Source organism: Homo sapiens, chromosome 20 (assembly GCF_000001405.40).
Source record: "Homo sapiens chromosome 20, GRCh38.p14 Primary Assembly".
NCBI lineage: Eukaryota > Metazoa > Chordata > Mammalia > Primates > Hominidae > Homo > Homo sapiens.
The window spans coordinates 43,865,355-43,889,755 of NC_000020.11; the positions used below are offsets into that span (position 1 = coordinate 43,865,355).

Genomic DNA, 24,401 nt, shown 5'->3' on the forward strand with positions numbered 1-24,401 from the left:
ACTCATGTTTAAAAACTTAACTGCCCTGTGCATGATCACAAAAAATATACAGCTTTGTTAGGTGGGCTTTTGACATTTATGTACAATAATGGTGTATGTGTCCTTTTGTAACTTACTGTAACTTGACATGTGCTTTAAAGATTCATTCACCTTTTTTACAAGTAGATCTAGTTCATTTGCCTTAAATTAGTATTCTAGTGTAAGAAGGTTTTAAAATTTACTAACCCAATCCCCTACTGATAGGCATTTAGGCTGTTCTCTTTCTCTTCCCAATAACATCAGTGCTGCAGTGCAAATCCTGAGCCCATGTATAGGAATTACTCTTTTGGGATATTTATCTGAAAGTGGAACTGTTGGCTCAGAAGGCCCCAGGGCATGAACCTCTCCAGCTTTGCTAGATATTGCCAAATTGCTCTCCCAGGTAAGAGTATCAACACCCTCTTCCTAAAAGTTCCTGTCTTTCCCATCTCCTCTGCAACATTTGGTTAGATTTTTTTCCCCCACTCTGATGTTTATGAAATAGTCTTTTGGTTGCTTTAATTTGCATTTCCTTGGTCAACAGTGAAGCTGAGCGTGTATTTATAAATTTATTGGGCTTTAGAGTTTCTTCTGTGAATGCTTGTGGATGTTTTTGTCTCTTTTTCCGTTTGCTTTTTAAATTGGATTGTAAAAATTCTTTATGTATTATAGATATTAATCCCTTATCAGTTATATGTATCGTAAATATTTTCTCCAAGCCTGTGGCCTCTCTCTTAATTTTGGTTTTGGTGCTTTTTGGTCATAGAAATTTTAAGTTTTAATGCAGTCAAATTTTTCTCTGTGGTTTATGCTTTTTGTGAATTGTTTAAGAAATCCTTCTCTACTCCAACAACATTTTCTACACTTTCTTCTAAAAGAGATAAGGGTTATTCTTCCCATTTGACAGATAAGGAAATGGAAGAGGTGACTTGTCCAAAGTCCACGGATGTAGGTGGCAGATCCAGGACTGGCCCGCTGTGTGCTGATTCTAAACCCAGCATGCTTTTCTTCACTTGGGGCCCTGGTGTTGAGAGCCGGATCTGGGAAGCAGATGATCGTGGTTCAGTGTGGTCTTGACCTGTGGTGGATGGACACTGGGCGGACCATGTCCTCTCTCTGTGGCTCCTCTTGGTGGTCCTATGGTCAGGGAGGCTCATGACTTTTCCTTTGCCGGATGTGTCAGTGAATACTGAGTTCCTAAAGGTCAGCTTTGGAAGAGATTTGGGGCCATGTGTTATACATGGAGAAACTGAGACCCTGATTGGGGGAGAAAGTTGCTCTGGACTTGCCCGTGGCTTATCCCACCTGCCAAGGGGCACAGTTCCAGCACTGCCTGGCTCCCATTCTGAACCCACTTGGGCCTCGCCATCCTGGCCTGGCCACTGGACAACAGTAGCCACCAATGGGGAGGACACAGGCCACCTGCCAGGTGACTGCACATCTGCCCCTTGACTTTGTCCTCATAGCAGCCTTAGGGCTGGCAACTGTCATCTCCATTTTACAGAGGAGGAACTTGAAATTTAGAGAGGGTAATTGATTTGGCCAAATTCATACACAGAGGCAGGAAACCCTGATCCCCATGATTCCAAAGCTCATCCTGTGTGACCCAGGATCCTGCTCTGTATTGGAGGTGACTGAGTCAACACTGAAGAAGCAGCTCCTTCTCTGATTGACCCTCAACTGTTAGAGAACCTGTGTCCCCAGCCCCACGTAGTCACCTCTGCCCTGAGCCTCTCCTCAGTGTCTCAGAGCCTCAAACCCTGACTCAGTCTCTTGTCTTATTTATTTATTTATTTATTTATTTATTTATTTATTTATTTATTTTTGAGACAGAGTTTTGCTCTTGTTGCCCAAGCTGGAGTGCAATGGTGCAATATCAGCTCACTGCAACCTCTGCCTCCCAGGTTCAAGCGATTCTCCTGCCTCAGCCTCCCGAGTAGCTGGGATTACGGGCATGTGCCACCAAGCCTGGCTAATTTTTGTATTTGTAGTAGAAACAGGGGTTTGCCATGTTGGTCAGGCTGGTCTCGAACTCCTGACCTCAGGTGATCCTCCCGCCTCGGCCTCCCAAAGTGCTGGGATTACAGGCGTGAGCCACTGCGTCCGGCTTGGTCTCTCGTCTTAAATCAAGGAGGTTTTCATAGCTCATGGCCCATCCACACACAGCCTCTGCCACTCCCACATCAGACTGAGTGGGCAGGGAATGTCCTACTTTCATCCATTCATTCCATCCCTTATTCACTTAATTTTAACTGGGCAGAGAGTCAGGGTGACGTGTGGCCTGGTCAGAGTCCTGTGCCATCTTACTTAACTCTCAGAGCCTCAGTTTCTTCATGTATAAAATAGGCACAATGAACACTCAACTCCTCAAACTGCTGTGAAGGTTAACTGAGAGGAACAAGCCTGTGGTTATGATTCCATGGCCAGTTTACCATGGGGTCTGTGACTGCTGCCTCGGCTCTACCATCTGAGCTCAGGGCTGCCTGGCCTGGAATGGAGGGGTGGGTAAGAGCACAGGCTCTGAAGCCAGAGTACCTGGATTCAAATCCTCCCACCACCCTGACTAGCTGTGTGATTTTCAGCAATATACTAAGCTTTTTGGTGCCACATTTCCTCATTTAAAAAATTATGTTAATAATAATGCCTACCCTATGACATTGTCATGAATACGAAAAAAAGTTAATACATGTGAAACACAAAGAACCATGTAATTATAGACAAAACTGTGTCTCCTCCAACCCCACCCCAGATTCATATGTTAAGGCCCTCTCAATTTGACTGTATTTGGAGATAGGGCCTTTAAGGAGGTAATTAGGGTGATATGGTTTGGCTGTGTCCCCACCAAAATCTCACCTTGAATCGTAATAATCTGCACATGTCAAGGGTGGGGCCAGGGGGAGATAATTGAATCATGGGGGCAGTTTTCCCCATACTGTTGTCATGGTAGCAAATAAGTCTCATGAGATCTGATGGTTTTATAAATGGGCATTCCCCTGCACAGGCTCTCTTGCAGGCACCTTGTGAGACATGACTTTGCTCCTCATTAGCCTTCTGCCATGATTGTGAGGCCCCAGCCATTTGGAACTGAGTCAATTAAACCTCTTCTCTTTGTAAATGACCCAGCCTCGGGTATGTCTTTATTAGCAGAGTGAGAACAGACTAATACATAGGGTTAAACGAGGTCATAAGGGAAGTGGGGGCGGGGCTAATCAGATGGGATTGATGTCCTTGTAAGAAGAGAAGAGACAACTGAGATAGCTCTTCCCCCCATGACCTTTCCCTCTCTTTCTTGTGTGCACAGAGGAAAGGCCATGTGAGGACACATCAAGAAGGTGGCCATCTGCAAGCCAGGAAGTGAGGCCTCACCAGACGCCAGCCCTGCTGACTCCTGATCTTGGACTTTCAGCCTCCAGGACAGAAATAAATTTCTATTGTTTAAGCCACCCAGTCTGTGGTATTCTCTTATGGCAGCCTGAGCAGACTAATATGCCAAACTCATAGTTTGTGCTGAAGAAAAGCTAATTATTTGATAATAATTTTATTTATTATTATTAATACAATTGTGGTTGTAACTGAAAGACCAGATTCAGGTATCTCCTGCAGTGTTGATAAGGGGGTGGCAGGGTGAGGGACTGGGGCTAGTATCAGCACCCTGCCCAACAAAGGACTTCCCCTCCCAGGCAGCCAACAGAAGAGGCTGGGCCAGGCTGCAGGTGGTCGGGGAAGCCTGGCTTCCTTGTCACTTCTGCCTCTCATCACCGGTGCACAGGCCTGCTCAGGGCCAAGGGTACCAGAAAGCTTTGCCTGTGCTGTTTCTCTGACCCAGTGGCCTCTCCTTTTTCAATTGCCTAACTCCAGGACAGAAATAACTCTGATGCCCCTTTCAGACCTGCCCCCTAGGGCACCCCCTTAGACATTGGTCAGTAACAGGAGAGAAGATCGACAGATTAGAGGTGGGGGCATGGGAAGCTCTCTTCTGATTGTTTCTCTTTTACAAAATGAAAAGCAAGGTCAACAGCTGAGAATGGGAGGGGGTGGGAGTTGGAGATTTGAGGGGAGCGGAGATAAGGAATACAGGTTATCTTACTTTTGGTTGCTCAAAAGCAGACCCCAAGACAAGGATCCCAGAGCACGTAGTTTATTTGAAAGGTGATCCCAGGACAGCCAGGTAGGGGACTAGGAGGGTGAGGCAGGAAGGGAAAGGAGCCAAGCCCATTACGATGGTGGGCAGCTGAATGCAGGTCAATCCCACTGGGCTATCGTGGGTGCCACCCAAGATGGGAGGGGACCGGAGTGATCTACATTCCAGCTAGGGGTGGTTTTTGCTTAAAGGTTGCTCCTGGTTGAGAGGTCAAATCTCTGCCTCCAGCCCTGCTCCCCAAGAAAGCCCTAGCCATGCAGATGAGGGCAATTAGCATTGGGGCAGCAAGGAAAGGGTACTGGCCAGGGGTTGTGGGTGGGACCCTGCCAACATCTGCTATGGTGAAGGAGTGAATTAACCAGCAGTAAGTAGAGGTCCCTCAGGGCTAATGTTGATTGGTTTAAAGTGAACCAAAGAGCATAAGTTGCCAAAGGACCTTAGTCATCGCAGACTACCATGCCTGGCTAATTTTTGTATTTTTCGTAGAGATGGGATTTCTCTGTGTTTGCCAGGCTGGTCTCGGACTCCTGGCCTCAAGACTGGCTTACAGATGACATGAACCATAAGGCCCCTAGAAGAAAAGACACTTTTCCAAAATCACTCTTAGCATGGTCAGGATGGCAGATCACATTCCTCTGGAACCTTGCACAGAAGAAAAAATAAAAAAAAGTTTAAAGCAGTTTTTAGTATACAAAAGTAAAACATGATTATTGGAGAAAATCTAGAAAATATAGACAGAAAATTTAAAATCACACAGAAATGTGTAACCCAGAGACAACCACTGTCAACAATGGATCTGTATCTTTCTAGTCTATTTCCTAAGCCTATGTGTATTCATATAGTTTTTTTCAACAAAATTTCAATCACATTATATGTAATAGTACATACTGTCCTCTAACATGATTTTTTCATGTTACAGTATAATCATGTTTCTCTTTCCATATCATTGAATATTTTTCTGCATAAATGTCTAGGGCCACACAATATTCCATTGTTAAACACTGAAATTGTTTGTATTTTTTCATTATTATAAATACCACTGCAATGAATTTCCCAGAAATTCACTCTGAGCATGACCATGAATATTTCCTAAGAATAAATCCCTAGGAATGGAATTGCCATCTCAAAGGGTAAGCACTTTTTAAGGCATTTATTTGATAATTTGCCAATTTGATAAACTTTGCTAACTTTGGAAACAGCATGACTGTTTATTCAATTGCTCAGTCCAAAATTCTTGAGTCATTCTGTGTATAATAGTTCTGTACTTTGTGGTAGGATTTCTGTAGGGTCCTTTCAAGTGGGACATAAAAAGGAATGTTCATTTGCCATTTTGATAACACTGCCAAATTATCTTCTAAAAGTATTTAACCAAATTGAATGTTCTTATCTAAAAACACACTATTTCTCTCTCTCTCTCTTTTTTTCTGTTAAATGCTTCAGGAGAGTTAAATTGTTGTTCCTTTTTCATAGACATCATGCACATTATAAACTTTATTCTTAGGTATCTTTTGAGTTTTATTGCTGGCATGAATGAAATTTTAAAAATCGGTCATATTTTCTAGTTGGTCATTGTTGAAAACCTAAGAAAACTATAGATTTTAGCATATTTATTTATTTATTTATTTTAGTATTATTATTATTATTTTTATTATACTTTAAGTTCTCAGGTACATGTGCACAACGTGCAGGTTTGTTACATATGTATACATGTGCCATGTTGGTGTGCTGCACCCATTAACTCATCATTTACATTAGGTATATCTCCTAATGCTATCCCTTCCCCCTACCTCTACCTCACGACAGGCCCTGGTGTGTGATGTTCCCCAACCTGTGTCCAAGTGTTCTCATGGTTCTATTCCCACCTATGAGTGAGAACATGTGGTGTTTGGTTTTCTGTCCTTGCGATAGTTTGGTCAGAATGATGGTTTCCAGCTTCATCCATGTCCCTGCAAAGGACATGAACTCATCCTCTTTTATGGCTGCATAGTATTCCATGGTGTATATGTGCCACATTTTCTTAATCCAGTCTATCATTGTTGGACATTTGGGTTGGTTCCAAGTCTTTGCTATTGTGAATAGTGCCGCAATAAACATACGTGTGCAAATGTCTTTATAGCAGCATGATTTATAATCCTTTGGGTATATACCCAGTAATGGGATGGCTAGGTCAAATGGTATTTCTAGTTCTAGATCCTTGAGGAATCACCACACTGTCTTCCACAATGGTTGAACTAGTTTACAGTCCCACCAACGGTGTAAAAGTGTTCCTATTTCTCCACAGCCTCTCTAGCACCTGTTGTTTCCTGACTTTTTAATGATCGCCATTCTAACTGGTGTGAGATGGTATCTCATTGTGGTTTTGATTTGCATGTCTCTGATGACCAGTGATGATGAGCATTTTTTCATGTGTCTGTTGGCTGCATAAATGTCTTCTTTTGAGAAGTGTCTGTTCATATCCTTCGCCCACTTTTTGATGGGGTTGTTTTTTTCTTGTAAATTTGTTTAGGTTCTTTGTAGATTCTGGATATTAGCCCTTTGTCAGATGGGTAGATTGTGAAAATTTTCTTCCATTCTGTAGGTTGCCTGTTCACTCTGATGGTCATTTCTTTTGCTGTGCAGAAGCTCTTCAGCTTAATTAGATCCCATTTGTCAATTTTGGCTTTTGTTGCCATTGCTTTTGGTGTTTTAGACATGAAGTCCTTGCCCATGCCTATGTCCTGAATGGTATTGCCTATGTTTCCTTCTAGGGTTTTTATGGTTTTAGGTCTAACATTTAAGTCTTTAATCCATCTTGAATTAATTTTTGTACAAGGTGTAAGGAAGGGATCCAGTTTCAGCTTTCTACATATGGCTAGCCAGTTTTCCCAGCACCATTTATTAAATAGGGAATCCTTTCCCCATTTCTTGTTTTTGTCAGGTTTGTCAAAGATCAGATGGTTGTAGATGTGTGGTATTATTTCTGAGGGCTCTGTTCCGTCCATTGGTCTATATCTCTGTTTTGGTACCAGTACCATGCTGTTTTGGTTAGCCTTGTAGTATAGTTTGAAGTCAGGTAGTGTGATGCCTCCAGCTTTGTTCTTTTGGCTTAGGATTGACTTGGCAATGTGGGCTCTTTTTTGCTTCCATATGAACTTTAAAGTAGTTTTTTCCAATTCTGTGAAGAAAGTCATTGGTAGCTTGATGGGGATGGCATTGAATCTATAATTTACCTTGGGCAGTATGGCCATTTTCACGTTATTGATTCTTCCTATCCATGAGCATGGAATGTTCTTCCATTTGTTTGTGTCCTCTTTTATTTCATTGAGCAGTGGTTTGTAGTTCTCCTTGAAGAGGTCCTTCACATCCCTTGTAATTTGGATTCCTGGGTATTTTATTCTCTTTGAAGCAATTGTGAATGGGAGTTCACTCATTATTTGGCTCTCTGTTTGTCTGTTATCGGTTTATAGGAACGTTTAGATTTTTGCACATTGATTTTGTATCCTGAGACTTTGCTGAAGTTGCTTATCAGCTTGAGGAGATTTTGGGCTGAGATGATGGGGTTTTCTAAATATACAGTCATGTCATCTGCAAACAGGGACAATCTGACTTCCTCTTTTCCTAATTGAATACCCTTTATTTCTTTCTCCTGCCTGATTGCCCTGGCCAGAACTTCCAACACTATGTTGAATAGGAGTGGTGAGAGAGGGCATCCCTGTCTTGTGCCAGTTTTCAAAGGGAATGCTTCCAGTTTTTGCCCATTCAGTGTGCTATTGGCTGTGGGTTTGTCATAAATAGCTCTTATTATTTTGAGATACGTCCCATCAATACCTAGTTTATTGAGTTTTTAGCATGAAGGGCTGTTGAATTTTGTCAAAGGCCTTTTCTGCATCTTTTGAGATAATCATGTGGTTTTTGTCTTTGGTTCTGTTTATATGCTGGATTACGTTTATTGATTTGCATGTTGAACCAGCCTTGCTTCCCAGGGATGAAGCCAACTTGATCGTGGTGGATAAGCTTTTGATGTGCTGCTGGATTCGGTTTGCCAGTATTTTATTGAGGATTTTTGCATCGATGTTCATCAGGGATATTGGTCTAAAATTCTCTTTTTTTTGTTGTGTCTCTGCCAGGCTTTGGTATCAGGATGATGCTGGCCTCATAAAATGAGTTAGGGAGGATTCCCTCTTTTTCTATTGATTGGAATAGTTTCAGAAGGAATGGTACCAGCTCCTCCTTATACCTCTGGTAGAATTCGGCTGTGAATCTGTCTGGTCCTGGACTTTTTTTTGGTTGGTAAGCTATTAATTATTGCCTCAATTTCAGAGCCTGTTATTGGGCTATTCAGGGATTCAACTTCTTCCTGGTTTAGTTTTGGGAGGGTGTATTTGTCTAGGAATTTATCAATTTCTTCTAGATTTTCTAGTTAATTTGTGTAGAGGTGTTTATAGTATTCTCTGATGGTAGTTTGTTTTTCTGTGGGATCGGTGGTGATATCCCCTTTATCACTTTTTTTTGAGTCTATTTGATTCTTCTCTCTTTTCTCCTTTATTAGTCTTGCTAGCGGTCTATCTATTTTGTTAATCTTTTCAAAAAACCAGCTCCTGGATTCATTATTTTTTGAAGGGTTTTTTGTATCTCTATCTCCTTCAGTTCTGCTCTGACCTTAGTTTTTTCTGCTAGCTTTTGAATGTGTTTGCTCTTGATTCTCTAGTTCTTTTAATTGTGATATTAGGGTGTCAATTATAGATCTTTCCTGCTTTCTCTTGTGGGCATTTAGTGCTATAAATTTCCCTCTGCACACTGCTTTAAATGTGTCCTAGAGATTCTGGTATGTTGTGTCTTTGTTCTCATTGGTTTCAAAGAACATCTTTATTTCTGCTTTCATTTCGTTATGTACCCTGCAGTCACTCAGGAGCAGGTTGTTCAGTTTCCATGTAGACGAGTGGTTTTGAGTGAGTTTTTTAATCCTGAGTTCTAATTTGATTGCACTGTGGTCTGAGAGACAGTTTGTTATAATTTCTGTTCTTTTACATTTGCTGAGTAGTGCTTTACTTCCAACTATGTGGTCAATTTTGGAATAAGTGTGATGTGGTGCTGAGAAGAATGTATATTCTGTTGATTTGGGGTGGAGAATTCTGTAGATGTCTGTTAGGTCCGCTTGGTGCAGAGCTGAGTTCAAGTTCTGGATATCCTTGTTAACTTTCTGTCTCGTTGATCTGTCTAATGTTGACAGTGGGGTGTTAAAGTCTCCCATTATTATTGTGTGGGAGTCTAAGTCTCTTTGTAGGTCTCTAAGGACTTGCTTTATGAATCTAGGTGCTCCTGTGTTGGATGCATATATATTTAGGATAGTTAGCTCTTCTTGTTGAATTGATCCTTTTACCATTATGTAATGGCCTTCTTTGTCTCTTTTGATCTTTGTTGGTTTAAAGTCTGTTTTATCAGAGACTAGGACTGCAACCCCTGCCTTTTTTGTTTTCTGTTTGCTTGGTAGATCTTCCTCCATCCCTTTATTTTGAGCCTATGTGTGTCTCTGCACGTGAGATAGGTCTTCTGAATACAGCACACTGATGGATCTTGACTCTTTATCCAATTTGCCAGTCTGTGTCTTTTAATTGGAGCATTTAGCTCATTTACATTTAAGGTTAATATTGTTATGTGTGAATTTGATCCTGTCATTATGATGTTAGCTGGTTATTTTGCTTGTTAGTTGATGCAGTTTCTTCCTGGCATCAATGGTCTTTACAATTTGGCATATTTTTGCAGTGGCTGGTACCGGTTGTTCCTTTCCATGTTTAGTGCTTCCTTCAGGAGCTCTTGTAAGGCAGGCCTGGTGGTGACAAAATCTCTCAGCATTTGCTTGTCTGTAAAGGATTTTATTTCTCCTTCACTTATGAAGCTTAGTTTGGCTGGATATGAAATTCTGGTTTGCAAATTCTTTCCTTTAAGAATGATGAATATTGGCCCCCACTCTTTTCTGGCTTGTAGAGTTTCTGCCGAGAGATTTGCTGTTAGTCTGATGGGCTTCCCTTTGTGGGTAACCTGACCTTTCTCTCTGGCTGCCCTTAACATTTTTTCCTTCATTTCAACTTTGGTGAATCTGACAATTATGTGTCTTGGAGTTGCTCTTCTCGAGGACTATCTTTGTGGCATTCTCTGTATTTCCTGAATTTGAATGTTGGCCTGCCTTGCTAGGTTGGGGAAGTTCTCCTGGATAATATCCTGCAGAGTGTTTTCCAACTTGGTTCCATTCTCCCTGTCACTTTCAGGTATACCAATCAGATGTAGATTTGGTCTTTTCACATAGTCCCATATTTCTTGGAGGCTTTGTTAGTTTCTTTTTACTCTTTTATCTCTAAACTTTCCTTCTCGCTTCATTTCATTCATTTAATCTTCAATCACTGACACTCTTTCTTCCACTTGACTGAATCGGCTACTGAAGCTTGTGCATACATTATGTAGTTCTCATGCCATGGTTTTCAGCTCCATCAGGTCATTTAAGGTCTTCTCTATGCTGTTTATTCTAGTTAGCTATTCATCTAATCTCTTTTCAAGGTTTTTAGCTTCTCTGTGATGGGTTTGAACATCCTTCTTTAGCTCGGAGAAGTTTGTTATTACTGATCGTCTGAAGCCTACTTCTGTCAACTTGTCAAAGTCATGCTCTGTCCAGCTTTGTTCTGTTGCTGGTGAGGAGCTGCGTTCCTTTGGAGGAGAAGAGGCACTCTGATTTTTAGAATTTTCAGCCTTTCTGCTCTAGTTTCTCCCCATCTTTGTGGTCTTATCTACCTTTGGTCTTTGATGATGGTGATGTACAGATGGGATTTTGGTGTGGATGTCTTTTCTCTTTGTTAGTTTTCCTTCTAACAGTCAGGGCCCTCAGCTGCAGGTCTGTTGGAGTTTGCTGGTGGTCCATTCCAGACCCTGTTTGCCTGGGTATCACCGGCGGAGGCTGCAGAACAGCAAATATTGCAGAACAGTAAATGTTGCTGCCTGATCCTTCCTCTGGAAGCTTTGTCTCAGAGGGGCACCGGGCTGTATGAGGTGTCAGTCAGCCCCTACTGGGAGGTGTCTCCCAGTTAGGCTACTTGGGGGTCAGGGACCCACTTGAGGAGGCAGTTTGTCTGTTCTCAGATCTCAAACTTCGTGCTAGGAGAACCACTACTCTCTTCAAAGCTGTCAGACAGGGACTTTTAAGTCTGCAGAAGTTTCTGCTACCTTTTGTTCAGCCATGCCCTGCCCCCAGAGGTGGAGTCTACAGAGGCAGGCAGGCCTCCTTGAGCTGTGGTGGGCTCCACCCAGTTTGAGCTTCCCAGCCACTTTGTTTACTTACTGAAGCCTCAGCAATGGCAGACGCCCCTCCCCCAGCCTTGCTGCCACCTTGCAGTTCGATCTCAGACTGCTGTACTAGCAGGGAGCGAGTCTCCTTGGGCATGGCACCCTCTGAGCCAGGCATGGGATATAATCTCCTGGTGTGCCATTTGCTAAGACCATTGGAAAAGCACAATATTAGGGTGGGAATGTCCCGATTTTCCAGGTACCATCTGTCACGGCTTCCCTTGGCTAGGAAAGGGAATTCCCTGATCCCTTGGACCCCTTGTGCTTCCCAGGTGAGCCGATGCCCTGCCCTGCTTTGGCTCACACTCCGGGGGCTGCACCCACTGTCCAACAAGCCCCAGTGAGATGAACCCGGTACCTTAGTTGGAAATGCAGAAATCACTTGTCTTCTGCGTTGCTCACGCTGGGAGCTGTAGACTGGAGCTGTTCCTATTCGGCCATCTTGGAGGGTGACTTCAGCATATTTATTTTTAGGCCGCCTGCCTTACTGAATCTATTATGATTTCTAACAGGTTTTCAATTCATTTTCTTGTTTTTTTTTTCCCCTAGGTGGAAAATAATAAAATGTTTAAATATTAATCATTATACTTATTTTCCTAATAGTTGTATCTCTAATTTCATTCTCTTGTCTAGTGACATCGGTAGCACCTCCAGAAGAGAGAACAAAAGCAGTGGTAGCACCAATCTCCTTAGTCTTTTCTCAGATTGAGGGGGCATCTCATGTGTGTCTTCCCTTTGAAAATGATGCCAACACTCATTTGACGTACACGTGCAAATGTTTTTGTTGTGGAACTATCCTTCTATTCTTGTTTTATGAAACATTGCCATCGGGGATAGATATATTACTTTTAAAAATTGTATTTTAGAGCCCTGTGTGGGGCTCATGCCTGTAATCCCAGCACTTTGGGAAGCTGAGGTGGGTGGATCACTTGAGGTTAGGAGTTCGAGAACAGCTAGACCAACATGGTGAAACCCCATCTCTACTAAAAATACAGAAATTAGCCAGGTGTGGTGGCACGTGCCTGTAATCACAGCTACTCGAGAGGCTGAGGCAGGAGAATGGCTTGAACCCAGGAGGCAGAGGTTGCAGTGAGCCAAGATCATGCCACTGCACTCCAGCCTGGGTGACAGGGCAAGACTCAGTCTCAGAAAAAATAAAAAATTGTTTTTTAGATATTTATTGAAACTTTTTTCCTTTTATATTAACAGCCTACCAAATTTTGAATAACCCTTGCTTATTCTCACAATTTTTCTTTTAATGTTCTATTTAGTTTATTTGCTAATATTTTGTTATTTTGCATGTATATTCATAATTGGGTTTGTAGTCTTCCATTTTGTGCTTGTCTACTTTTTAAATATTTAATTCTGCATAATTTGTAACATTAATTGAAAATTTTCTTTCATTATGCATTGGGATGATTTAAAGGGCAACAGATTTCTATGTTGTTTGGATTTTTGAAAGAGTTCTACTTCATCTGATGTGATTGTGGTTCTGCTTTCTGCTTATTTGTTTTTCCTGGAACAATTTTTTTGAACAAGTTTTGCTGGTCCTCTTACTCATAGTCTTTCTGAATCATTTTATTTTACTTAAGTGTTTGTGGAGTTATATTTTATGTGTTAATTTAAGCTTTTAAAAAATATCTGTGTTTATTCCATTTTCATTTATTGTCATAGTAATTTCTGTTTAAAAATGTTCTTAGGTTATTTTGTTTGTTGTGATTCATCACAGTATAATTTCCTTTATATCTTTTGCTTTACTGTTCATAATTTTTAAAGTAATTGAATGCCCATATAGATTCTGCTTTTAGATCTATTGATAATTGAATAACTTGATCAATCCTCGTTCTCCAGTTCATGAGTTCTAGCAGTAAGGCCTTCCCCTTTGTCTTTCTCTATGAAAGAGAAGGCCAACTGCACGTTTTTGCTTCCTCTCATTCTCTCCTCCGTCAATATCAATTCCAAATCCACCTCACCCGATTTGTGTATCCTGAATTTTTGCCCCAGCCTATTATAAGGAACTTATCATTAATATTTGTATTAGGTGTCTTTCTTTGTCAAGGAACTTAATGTTTTTGTTCTTTCTTATAACAATACTTTCCATGGCTATTTAGTCTTCATTTCATGTTTGGAATTTGGATGCAGTTTGGATGGATTTGGCTCTTACCCCAGGCTTTCTGCAACACAGACTTCATGTTCAGAAATATATACTTATTCAACTAGTTCTTGAGAGAGTGTTTATGTGACCTCCTCCTAAAGTTTTCTGATGTTTAATAACAGCCTGTTTCCTTACCAGGTGACTGGCACTTTGACTGGGCTTAGAATTTGGGGGCTTAGAACTTGGGACCATATTCCTTTTCTTCCTTTAAAACACTGCCTTGTCTTCTGGCAGTGAATTGTATGGCAGAAACATCAGGGTCGTTTTTCTTCAGTGTAGATATTTACAGACATTTTTCTTTATAACTAAAATGAAATAATTTTTTATGAGAACTTGCCTTGAAACTGCCTCCTTTGTTCCTCTTTCATATTAGGAAAGATCTCTCCTTTTATGTTTCGAACTCTGTTTCTGTCTTTTTTTTTTTTTTTTTTTTTGGAGATGGAGTCTCACTCTGTTGCCCAGGCTGGAGTGAAGTGGCGTGATCTTGGCGCACTGCAACCTCTGCTTCCCACGTTCAAGCAATTTTCCTGCCTCAGCCTCTCGAGTAGCTGGGACTACAGGCGCACACTGCCATGCCTGGCTAATTTTTTTGTATTTTAGTAGAGATGGAGTTTCACCGTGTTGCCCAGGCTGGTCTTGAACTCCTGAGCTCAGGCAATCCACCCGCCTCGGCCTCCCAAAGTGCTAGGATTACAGGCGTGAGCCACCACGCCCAGCCTCTAGTCTCTTCTTTAGGAGCACCAATTATCCTATACTCCATCTCTTTTTCTTTCCTCTGTGGTTTTCCTCAATCCTTTGTCTTTTGCTTCTACGTTCTGCATTATTTTCTCTCAAGGACCCTCCATCTTGACAACCTGGGTTCCTTCAATGATGAATCCGTTCTCCCTTCCTACCCATTTAAAAAATGTTGCAGTAGCGTTGCTTGACCTCTTACTGTTTTTTCTTAGCATTGCCCATTCTTTTGTAAACCCAATCCATAGTTACAGGAGCTCATTTTTCATCCATTTTTTTCTTTGGAGTCCTTGAACTTTTTCCCATGCCACTGAGAATAGAAAGTAGATTTGCCCCAAATTTTCATCTGTTTTATGGGTTCAGTTTATAGAAATATGGTCTTCATCTCTCTACGCTGCTGTGTTCATTTCCTTGTCATTGGTTGCTAAGTTCTTGCTTCTCACTCTCTTCTCACCTTTGAATAGGATTCTATTTAGGATTTGTACTTGCCTTGGGCTGGCATGGATAGATTTTCCTTCATGATTCCTCACACTTTGCACTCTACCCTTAGGTATTTGGGTAGCTTCAGAATCGTCTTACTAGAACTCTATAAGTGAATATATATCTGGATGCATTTTGAGAGATTCAGAAGGATGCAAAACCAATAGAAAATATTGGTTACTTTAAGGTAAGATTGGAGGGAAATACTATTGACCTTTAATTTAAAAACCTCTCTTAAAAAATGGGCAAACATTAAGAATATCAGATAGAATGTACAAATGACTAATCTGCTATGTAAAAAGATGTTTGACCTTGCTGATAGCCAGTGAAGTGCAAACTAAAACCACACTAAGACATCATCACTTGCACATCAGATTGAAAAAGATTTACAATGTTATAATGTCCAACATGGTAAAGATGTTGAGAAAGATGCACTATTTCAAGATTTTTTTTTTTAAAGGAACTTGGAGACTGGATCAGGTAACTTAATTTTAGGAATTTAAAACTCAGACTGAAATGGGCCTATGGACAAAGTGGGTTAATTTAGTCTTTATTTTGTTTTTGCTAAATAAATATTTCATGTATGTTTAAGAAACCTTATAAACAAATTCAGTCACAGACTTTAGTTTGCATTAGGATTACCTTCAGTTTTTCTGTACTTTTATGTTTTGCCTCAAATGTGATTTCTTCACTGCTTTATCAAGAGCTGGACCTGACATCAACATTATAAAATAAATTTACAGAGCTCGAGGGCTTCAAGTGCCTGTCAAGGTGACCCAGAAGCCCACATCGATGGTTCTTGCCATGAACTCTACTCTGGAGAAACCACAGAAATAGGATAAAACACGGACTGGAGGAACTAACAAAGGAGTGTTGGAAGCCCCTGGAAGGGTCTCATGGCTGCTTTGAGCTGGAGTGTATGTATATGGGTGCACACACTCGTGTATGTAGGAAGCAGAAAAGGATGGGACAAGCAAAGGCAATGATGGGAAGGTGGGTTAGAGCAGTGATTTGCAATCCTGGTGCATGTTAGATATCATCTGAGAAGCTTTAAAAAATATTCACACCAGATAACAGGGAAATATAGGAGAATGTCCTCCTCCTTAGCTGATGTTGAATTACTAGCTGTCTGCAACTTATTTCCAAATGCTTCAACAAAACAAAACACCTCGTAACAGAGAATAAGAGAGAGAGAATGAGAGCAACTGTGGCAACTTTTGATGAATCCAGGTGAAGACAGCAGTGATGTTCTCTGTACTATTTTTTTTAAGACTGATTTGTTGGTTTGATTTTTGTTTTCAAAATACAATGTTGAGAAAATCAATACTCACCTCCAAGCCTCATCCCAGGTATTCTGATTTCATTGGTCTGTGATGCAGTGGCATCTGAAAAATGTTCCAGATATGAGTGTAATGCTGAACCAAGATTAAAATCCACAGGGTTGGCAGGAAGCTTTTAAAAAGCTCTTCTCTTGCTGCTTCTCCTGAAGTGCCTTGATACCATCTTTGACTTCCACTTCACCATAGAAATTGGAAGCAATAGTCCAAACCTCCAGTGCCAGTAAACATGGTGCTGGGTGCTCTGCTGAGTGAGGAATTGATGCAAAATGAAACCCCAACTAGAGGAGCTGTCAGTTACAATGGCAGCAAAGAGCAGTGGCTAACTGTTGTTTTGTGGTACTTGAGCTTCTCTACTCAGAGGCTCATCCCTCTCCTTAACTGACATTCATCCACAGGGACACAGATGAGAGCCTGGCCCTTGAGGTTTCATTCATACTCTGCTAAACAAAGTAGTTGATTCCACTGTGGGAAAATGAATTCACAGGCCAAGATATCTAGACACCTGAGAAATACCTGTCTTGTTAAAGAGAAAGAAAAAAAAAAAGACAAATGGAATGCATTCCACCTGAAGCAGCATTATTGAGAGATGGCTTCAGAATTTAAAATAAACATTATAGAAATAATTAAGAAAATAAGAGATGATTTTAAGCATATGAAGGAAAAGTAAGAAATCATGGACAAGAACCAAGTGGAAATATCGAGTATGAAAAGTATAATAGTTAAAGCAAAAAATACAAGAGATAGAATTAATAAAAGGATGGAAACAGCTGAAGAACAAATTAATGTAATGGAGGATTAGGTAGAGGAATTATTCTGAGGCAGTAGGAAATGATGAAGAGGGAGAAAAATATATATTTTCAAAATGCTTTGAAATATGGAGGACAGAAGTAAAAGTGTTAATATTTTAAAAATGAAAACACTAAGAGAAGAAAAAAACTGAGAAGATGAAATATTTAAAGAAACAGTGAAGATTCAGCTTCCTAAAATTGAAGACAAGTCTCTGGCTTGAAAAGTCCTATAGAACACCAAACAAAAGAGATAAGAAAAACCTATACTTAGCTGGGTGTGGTGGCTCACACCTGTAATCCCAGCACTTTGGGAGGCTGAGACAGGAAGGTTGCTTGTGTCCAGGAGTTCAAGACCAGCCTGGGCAACATAGTGAGACCCCTTCTCTACAAAAAATAAAAAATCAGCTGAATGTGGTGGTGTGCACCTGTAGTCCCAGCTACGTGGGGGGCCTGAGGCAGGAGAATTGTTTGAGCCTGGGAGGTTGAGCCTGCAGTGAGCCATGATCATGCCACTGCACTCCAGCCTGGTGGATAGAGTGAGATTTTGTCTCAAAACAAAACAAAGCAAACCCCTCAAAAAAACCTGTAGCTATATTAGAGTGAAACGTAAGAACATCAAAGACAAATTCTAAATGTTTTTGAAGTTGAAGCAGATTGCCAACAAACAAGAATCAGACCGACGTCAAGTGGGTACTACAAGTGATATGAAAAACACGGAAGACTAGATATAAATATAGTCAAGTTCAAGAAATAAATAAGGATAAATAAACTTGAGTATGGGTCTTAAATTAAGGGCAACTGACACAAGGCCCAAAGCAAAATAAATAAATTTTGAAGCAGCAAAAGGAAATTCTCCCTACCCAAAAGAAAGTTGGATAGAAGAAGGAAAAAAGAAAAATCCCTGTAAGTGTAAATTGTGAAATACATTATAACAATAATAATAATAAATGAAAATGGATTAAATTCACTAATTAAATTCACAGACAGCTCAGAGTAGATTTTTTAAAAGAAAGAGACAATATTATGTTTTTAAAATAAGAAATAAGCAATACAAAAAGGCAAAGAAAGTTGAAAAATCAGACTGGATTCCAGGCAAATATGAAAATATTGATAATCTGGCAATTTCAACACGTGACAAAATACCATTTAATGCCAAAACATCATAATGAACAAAGCAAGAGGTTATATACTAATAAAAGGAACAATATAACAAAAAACCCAATACAAATATATACGCACCTGAAAATAGACACTAAAAATATATCAAGCAACAAGTGACAGAACCACAGGGAGAGGATAATTCATTATTCCCAGTTGAATCTTTTATTGTATTCCTCCAAGGAATGGACAGATTAGGTAGTCTAAAAATGATCAGAAATTATTTTTTAAAATCTTCTCTTTGCTCCTAGTGTTCCGAAATTTCACGATGATATGTTTCAGCATGGGTCTATTTTTGTCCGTCTCACTTGGTACTCATGGGCCTTTTCAATCTGGCAATTCTTGTCACTCTCTTAGGGACATGTTTTATTGTTGTTTTGTTGCTGATGTACTCCCCTGTGTTTCTCTGTTCTCTCTGGAACTCCTCTTATTTGGATGGCATCTTCTGGATGGTTTCTCTAGTTTTTTTTGTTTTGTTTTGTTTTGTTTTTTATCTTTTCTTTCCTATTATCTATATCTTTGTCTTTTTGATCTACTTTCTGGGAGATTTCCTCATCTATAGCTTCCAAGCCTGCTGCTGACTTTAATTTTTTTCATATCGTATTTTTAACTTTATGAGCACTTTTTTGGTTTCAGAATGTCGCTTTTCTTAAAATAGAATCCTGTTCCTATTTCATGTTTGCAATACTTCATCCCTTTGAGGGAACTAATACTTTTTAAAAAAGAGATTTTCTTCTTTCTGGATAATTTCTGTTTCTCTAAATACCCCTGTACTGGTTTTTGTTGCTGCTGTAAAAAAAATTAAAACAATGTAAGTGTATTATCTTATAGTTCTGTAGGTTAGATGTTCAATATGGGTTTCACTGAACTGATATCACAGTGTTGGAAGGATCATGTTTCTTTCTGGAGGTTCTAGGGCTAATCTGTTTCCTTGCCTTTTTCAGCTTTTAGAGACCAGTCACATTTCTTAACTCATAGCCTGTTTCCTCACATCTCTCTGTCTCTTTTCTAGTTGCCACATCTCCCTCTGACCATGGCAAAGAAAAGTTCTTGGCTTTTAAGGACACATGTGATTTGACTGGGCTCACTAGGATAATCCAGGATAATCTCCTCATCTCAAAATCAGATCATTAACAACTTTAATTCCATTTGCAACCTTAAATCTGCAAAAGTGCCATGTAACATAATACATTCCCTGGTTCTGGGGATTCGAACATGCACATTTTGGGAGGGCATTATTCTACCTACCATATCCCATCCCCATAACCTCTCTCTTTTTTTGTTTAGTTTTGTTCTCTGATTTTCACTTTGGAGGTTTTCCTCACATGTCTGGTAATCTCTAGCTATCTGCACATACTTAGGAATGAAAGATTAAAAAGTTTATTGGAAGCTCTGAAAACATGAGTGGAGCTTATTGGCTGTATAACTGTGGATTATTTGACAGACTATTTCCCTGGGCAATCCCCATGTCAGTATATCAGGGTCTTTCTTGTTGGGCTGGTCAATTCCCCAGAGAAGACTTGTACAGTCTCCTCCCTAAAGGCAGAAGGCCTGGCCACCCGAGTTACACTATCTGAGCAGGGGAAGAGGCTTAAGAATCTCAAGATCTGGGATGTGTGTGTTTAGACTTAATAATTCTCTTGTGTCTGTCAATTATACCTGTCATCCCTTTTGCAAAAACTAGACATTCAGTCATCTGCCTGGGTGTAAAGATTCAGGGGGAAAATGGGGCAGAGGAGTTCAAATGTCTCTTAAACAGACCTTCAGCAACTCTTGAATTTTTAGTCAAATCCTCACCTTTACTTCCAGAGATCCTGGACAGCAATTGCTGAGTGACTCGGGGGTTCTTTAGTATAAACTGGGTTGGTTCTTGAATTTACCCTCCGTGGGCTTATAACTCAACTTTCTCAGTCCTCGGCTTGTCTATCTGCTTTCCAGTTTCCAAAATTTTGATGTTGCTTTTTCCCATTGGTCCTTGCCTTATTGGTTTTTTGTTAAAACCCTTTATTGTTGCTATAATGGCATTTCCAAAGAAAGCAGAGCTCAAAGCTTGGGTTCAATTCATTATTTTTTTAACTGGAAGTTGGTACATTGTTCCATATTTGTTGAACCCACTGTGCAACGTGAGCCATGGAAGTGCCCTGTCCCACTGTGGATGCCTCTTCTGACTGACATATTTCTCCTTTTTGGGGGCGGACCAACCATATCAAAGAGATGTCAAACTAAAGGAAAAGCTCATAACCATAGGCTTTCTGTGTTGAAGGTTGCTATGACTTTTAATGGCAAAAACCACAATTATGTTTGCACCAACTTAATAATATTCCCAACCCAACAGGTATTTGTTGAAGATATTGGTCTATCGCTCTGAAAATATTTCCCAAATGATATTTTCCAGCCTCCCTGATTCTGCCTTTGCCTTCCTGACATCCATGTGTGTGCTCACTTGTGCGTGCTTGCACACAGACATACACACACACACACACACATTTTCTTCCTTTTTTGGAGTGTACCCTTATCAGTATTAAGAATCTGACTCAGAACAATGGGGAGGGCTTTAGTCTTCTTGTTCAGCTATTACCATGGCTCAGAATGCTGTCTATGTCAGGAGATGAATCCCTGATTTTTTTCATGGCCCGTCCATGTCTTTCCCTCATGCCACCAAATTGAAGATAATGATATAACTTTGCATTTAGTTTTATAGCCATAGGAATATCCAGCACCATATATGTTTAAATACAGGATAACCCAGAACATAAAACACCTCCATTCCTTTTCCAGTTGAGAATATTCTCCAGAATTTTGGCCAATTTAAGTATAAATAACCTTTAGAACCTTATTGAAATTGATATTTACTTATACATTTTATTGGAGTAGTTTCATTATATATACAATTTAAAATTATATATTATAAAGGTAATTTAATTTACTGCTTTTTTCCTACTCATATAATAATAAAGTTGTAAGAAACAATTTTACTGAAACTCCTCACTGGCGTCTTGGACATTAGTGTCTCTGTCGTCAGTAGATCCATTTTTTTTAAATCGTCCAGCACAGTTTTCCACAGTACATTGTGTTCATTTCCATTTGAGTCATTGTGACACGTTTATGTTTGTATCTATATGTTTGCTCCCACGGAAACTTTTATCCCAAGCCACAATAGCCCATTATGTGCGGACAGATTTTTGGTTGTTTAATTTGTCCTGATGGTATATGTGCATGATTTCCACAGACAACCGTTTTCTGTATTGATTTTCAAGTGAGCTTTAGAAGGATTGTTTACAAAGACATTTGACACTTGCAATTGTGAGGTGATAGACCTTTAGCAATAATTACTAAATCTGTGTCAAATTTCTTTGCCTTCCTTATTTACTGATTCTGTCAGGTGACATCTCTAATCATTGCAAACCAGTGTTGATTGAGGTCATTTCAGGCTGATGTTTCTTTGCCAAACAAGATTTTTGTTCAAAATAAAGAATTTGAGGCTGGGCACGGTGGCTCATGTCTGTAATCCCAGCACTTTGGGAGGCCGAGGTGGGTGGATCACCTGAGGCCAGGAGTTAGAGACCAGCCTGGCCCACATAGTGAAACCCCATCGCTACTAAAAAATACAAAAATTAGCTGGACGTGGTGGTGGGCACCTGTAATCCCAGCTACTTGGGAGGCTGAGGCATGAGAATCGCTTGAACCTGGGAGGCAGAGTTTGCAGCGAGCCGAGATTGCGCCACTGCACTCCAGCCCGGGCAACAGAACAAGACTCCATATCAAAAAAAAAATTTTTTTTTGAAGGTGCATTTCCATAATAGTGCCTTTCCAAATTGGTCTTCTTGTTCAGCCTTATTACCATGGATCAGAATGCTGTCTATGTAGGGAGATGGGTCCTTGATTTTTTTCATGGCCTGTCCATGTCTTTTCCCTCATGCCTCTTCTTATAGATTACCCAGTCTCAAGTATTCTGTTATAGCAACACTAAATGGACTAAGACACTTTCTCTTCAGACATCCACAGGACTCTCTCCATAATATGAGAGATTTTTTTAAGGACGCAAATTTAGAGTAATTCTTTTCTGAGAGTTAATTTTTAGAAATTATTGTATTTGGAGTAGATTTCACACTCGGTTGGTTTTATTGCTTATTGTTGGTCCCCTTTTATCATGATCTTCTCATTTCTGGGTCCAACACTTTGGTCTAATAGCCAGTGGGATTTAAGTGCCATGATTTTAAACATCATTTACGCACTGATGATTCTCAGTGTTGTACCTCCAGTCTTGACATTTTCCTTGATCTTCAGTTTATATATTCATCTGTCAACTCAACACCTCCTAAGCCTAAACCTAAATTGATGTTTAATAGGCATCTCAAAATTGAAATGTCCAATACAGAATTAGTTCTCCAAGAGTTGGATTTTATAAAGCCAGGATGCCCCTTGGGTTTAGTCTTTTTGCATGTATCCACTGCCCATTTGACCTTCTCTACCATGTTATGCTGTAGACCAATAGCCCTCAACATAAGCCTGAGCCATACCCTTGAACTTCCCAGCTTGCAGAACTGTGAGCTAAATAAACCTCTCTTCTTTATAAATTACCCAGTCTCAGGTATTCTGTTACAGCAACAACACTAAACAGACTAAGACAGTCTTCCTTCAGATATCCACAGGACTCTCTCCATCATTTAATTCAGGTCTCTGTTAAGATATTATCTTCCCAACTGCAGTGCCACTCCACTGACATGCACTAGTCACTCTGTAACCCTTCATTCTGTGTTATTTTTCTTTATAAAACTTACCATTCCATGCTAGTGCATATACTAGCATTTACTAGTATATGCTAGTATATGCAAGTATATGTTAGTATATGCTAGTATATTATAGTATATGCTAGTGCATATACTATATTATATTACTATAATTTAAATATTTATTATTTACATTATACTTATTTGTTTATTTTCTGTTTTTCCACCAGAATGTGGGCTTCATTAAGGCTAAAACTTTGTTTTGTTCATGATTTATTCTCAGTTCCTAGCACCAAGTCTGTGTTCAATAAATATTTATTAAATGAATTAACGAATGAACAAACCAGTTTTCCATACGATGGATCACATATTTAGTTCTCCTTTCATCCTTTTTCTTTTACCCACTGCATTCCTGCTTTCTCTTTTATAATTTTCACCCTTATTCTTTTATCACTGCATTCCTGACATCTTATCAACATCGATGACTTGATATGCATTTGTTTTGCTGCAGTACTTTATTACTGTAGCCACAGTCTAAAATTCTGCCATAGCATTGTTTATTTCTTATATTATTAGTTTCTCACAGTAAAAACAATCTCAACCAGGCTTCTGTTCATCCCATTCTTCTGCATTATTATTTTGTCTCTCATCTTACATTTTATAGGCTCTACATTTTCTTGAATTTTATTGGGAACTTAAACTTTTCTTTTAGCAAGTGATTTTCTTCAGAAGACCTTTTCTTTTGCTTCCCTGCAGAGTGTTTAGCAGTGTCTCAACATCCACACAGAACCCCAAAGTGAAGAATGGGAGATGTGGTGGTCTGAGGCATTTAAGGAAATCTCTCTTTAATCTTTAGTGGCTGAGCTAACCAAGCAGAGACTTCAGCGGCAACATGTGACAAAGAATATAGACTTTACAGAATAATTCCAAAGGACACTAAAAAAAATGGCAGCAGCAACAACAAATAATAATAACAAACTCTGGAGAGGGGGAGAATCTGATTTCCAGAGTTGCCATATTATATTATTTTAAAGGTCAACTTTTTTAACAAAAAATACAAGTTATGCAAAGAAATCAGAAAGGATGGCCCATAAACAGGAAAAAGGGGCAAAAACAAGAGAAACTACACTAAGGAACCCCAGATGTTGGATTTATTAGACAAAGGCTTTAAATTAGCTATTTAAAATATGCTTAAAGCATGAAGGAAATTATGTCTAAGGAACTAAAGAAAAGTTTAAAAATGTCTGATGAAATATAGAATATCGATAAAGAGATAGAAATTATTAAAACAAAAATTCTGGAGTTGAAAGTACAGTAGCTGAAATGAAACATTCACTTAGAGGAGCTCAACAGAACATTTTAACAGGCAGAAGAAAAAGAAGTCAGCAAACCTGATGATAGGTCAAATGATATTATCTGTCTGAGGAAGAGAAAGATAAAAAGAATGAAGAAAAATGAAGAGTCTCAAAGACCTATCAAGCATACTGAGATAGACCAAGAATACAAAAATATGCATAATGTGATTTCTAGAAGAGAAGATAGAGTGGC

At 39.7% G+C, this 24,401-nt stretch overlaps 2 long non-coding RNA genes across 2 annotated transcripts; one reads left to right on the forward strand and one right to left on the reverse strand.

Moving 5' to 3' along the window:
• Nucleotides 1-285: 285 nt before the first annotated feature.
• LOC124904907 (uncharacterized) lies at nucleotides 286-3,461 on the forward strand. Its single transcript, XR_007067594.1, has 2 exons — nucleotides 286-421; nucleotides 3,320-3,461. It is a non-coding gene; the product is annotated as an uncharacterized LOC124904907 (long non-coding RNA).
• Nucleotides 3,462-18,265: 14,804 nt separating this feature from the next.
• LOC124904908 (uncharacterized) lies at nucleotides 18,266-20,151 on the reverse strand. Its single transcript, XR_007067595.1, has 2 exons — nucleotides 19,921-20,151; nucleotides 18,266-18,912 (listed from the first exon to the last, which is right to left on the reverse strand). It is a non-coding gene; the product is annotated as an uncharacterized LOC124904908 (long non-coding RNA).
• Nucleotides 20,152-24,401: the final 4,250 nt, after the last annotated feature.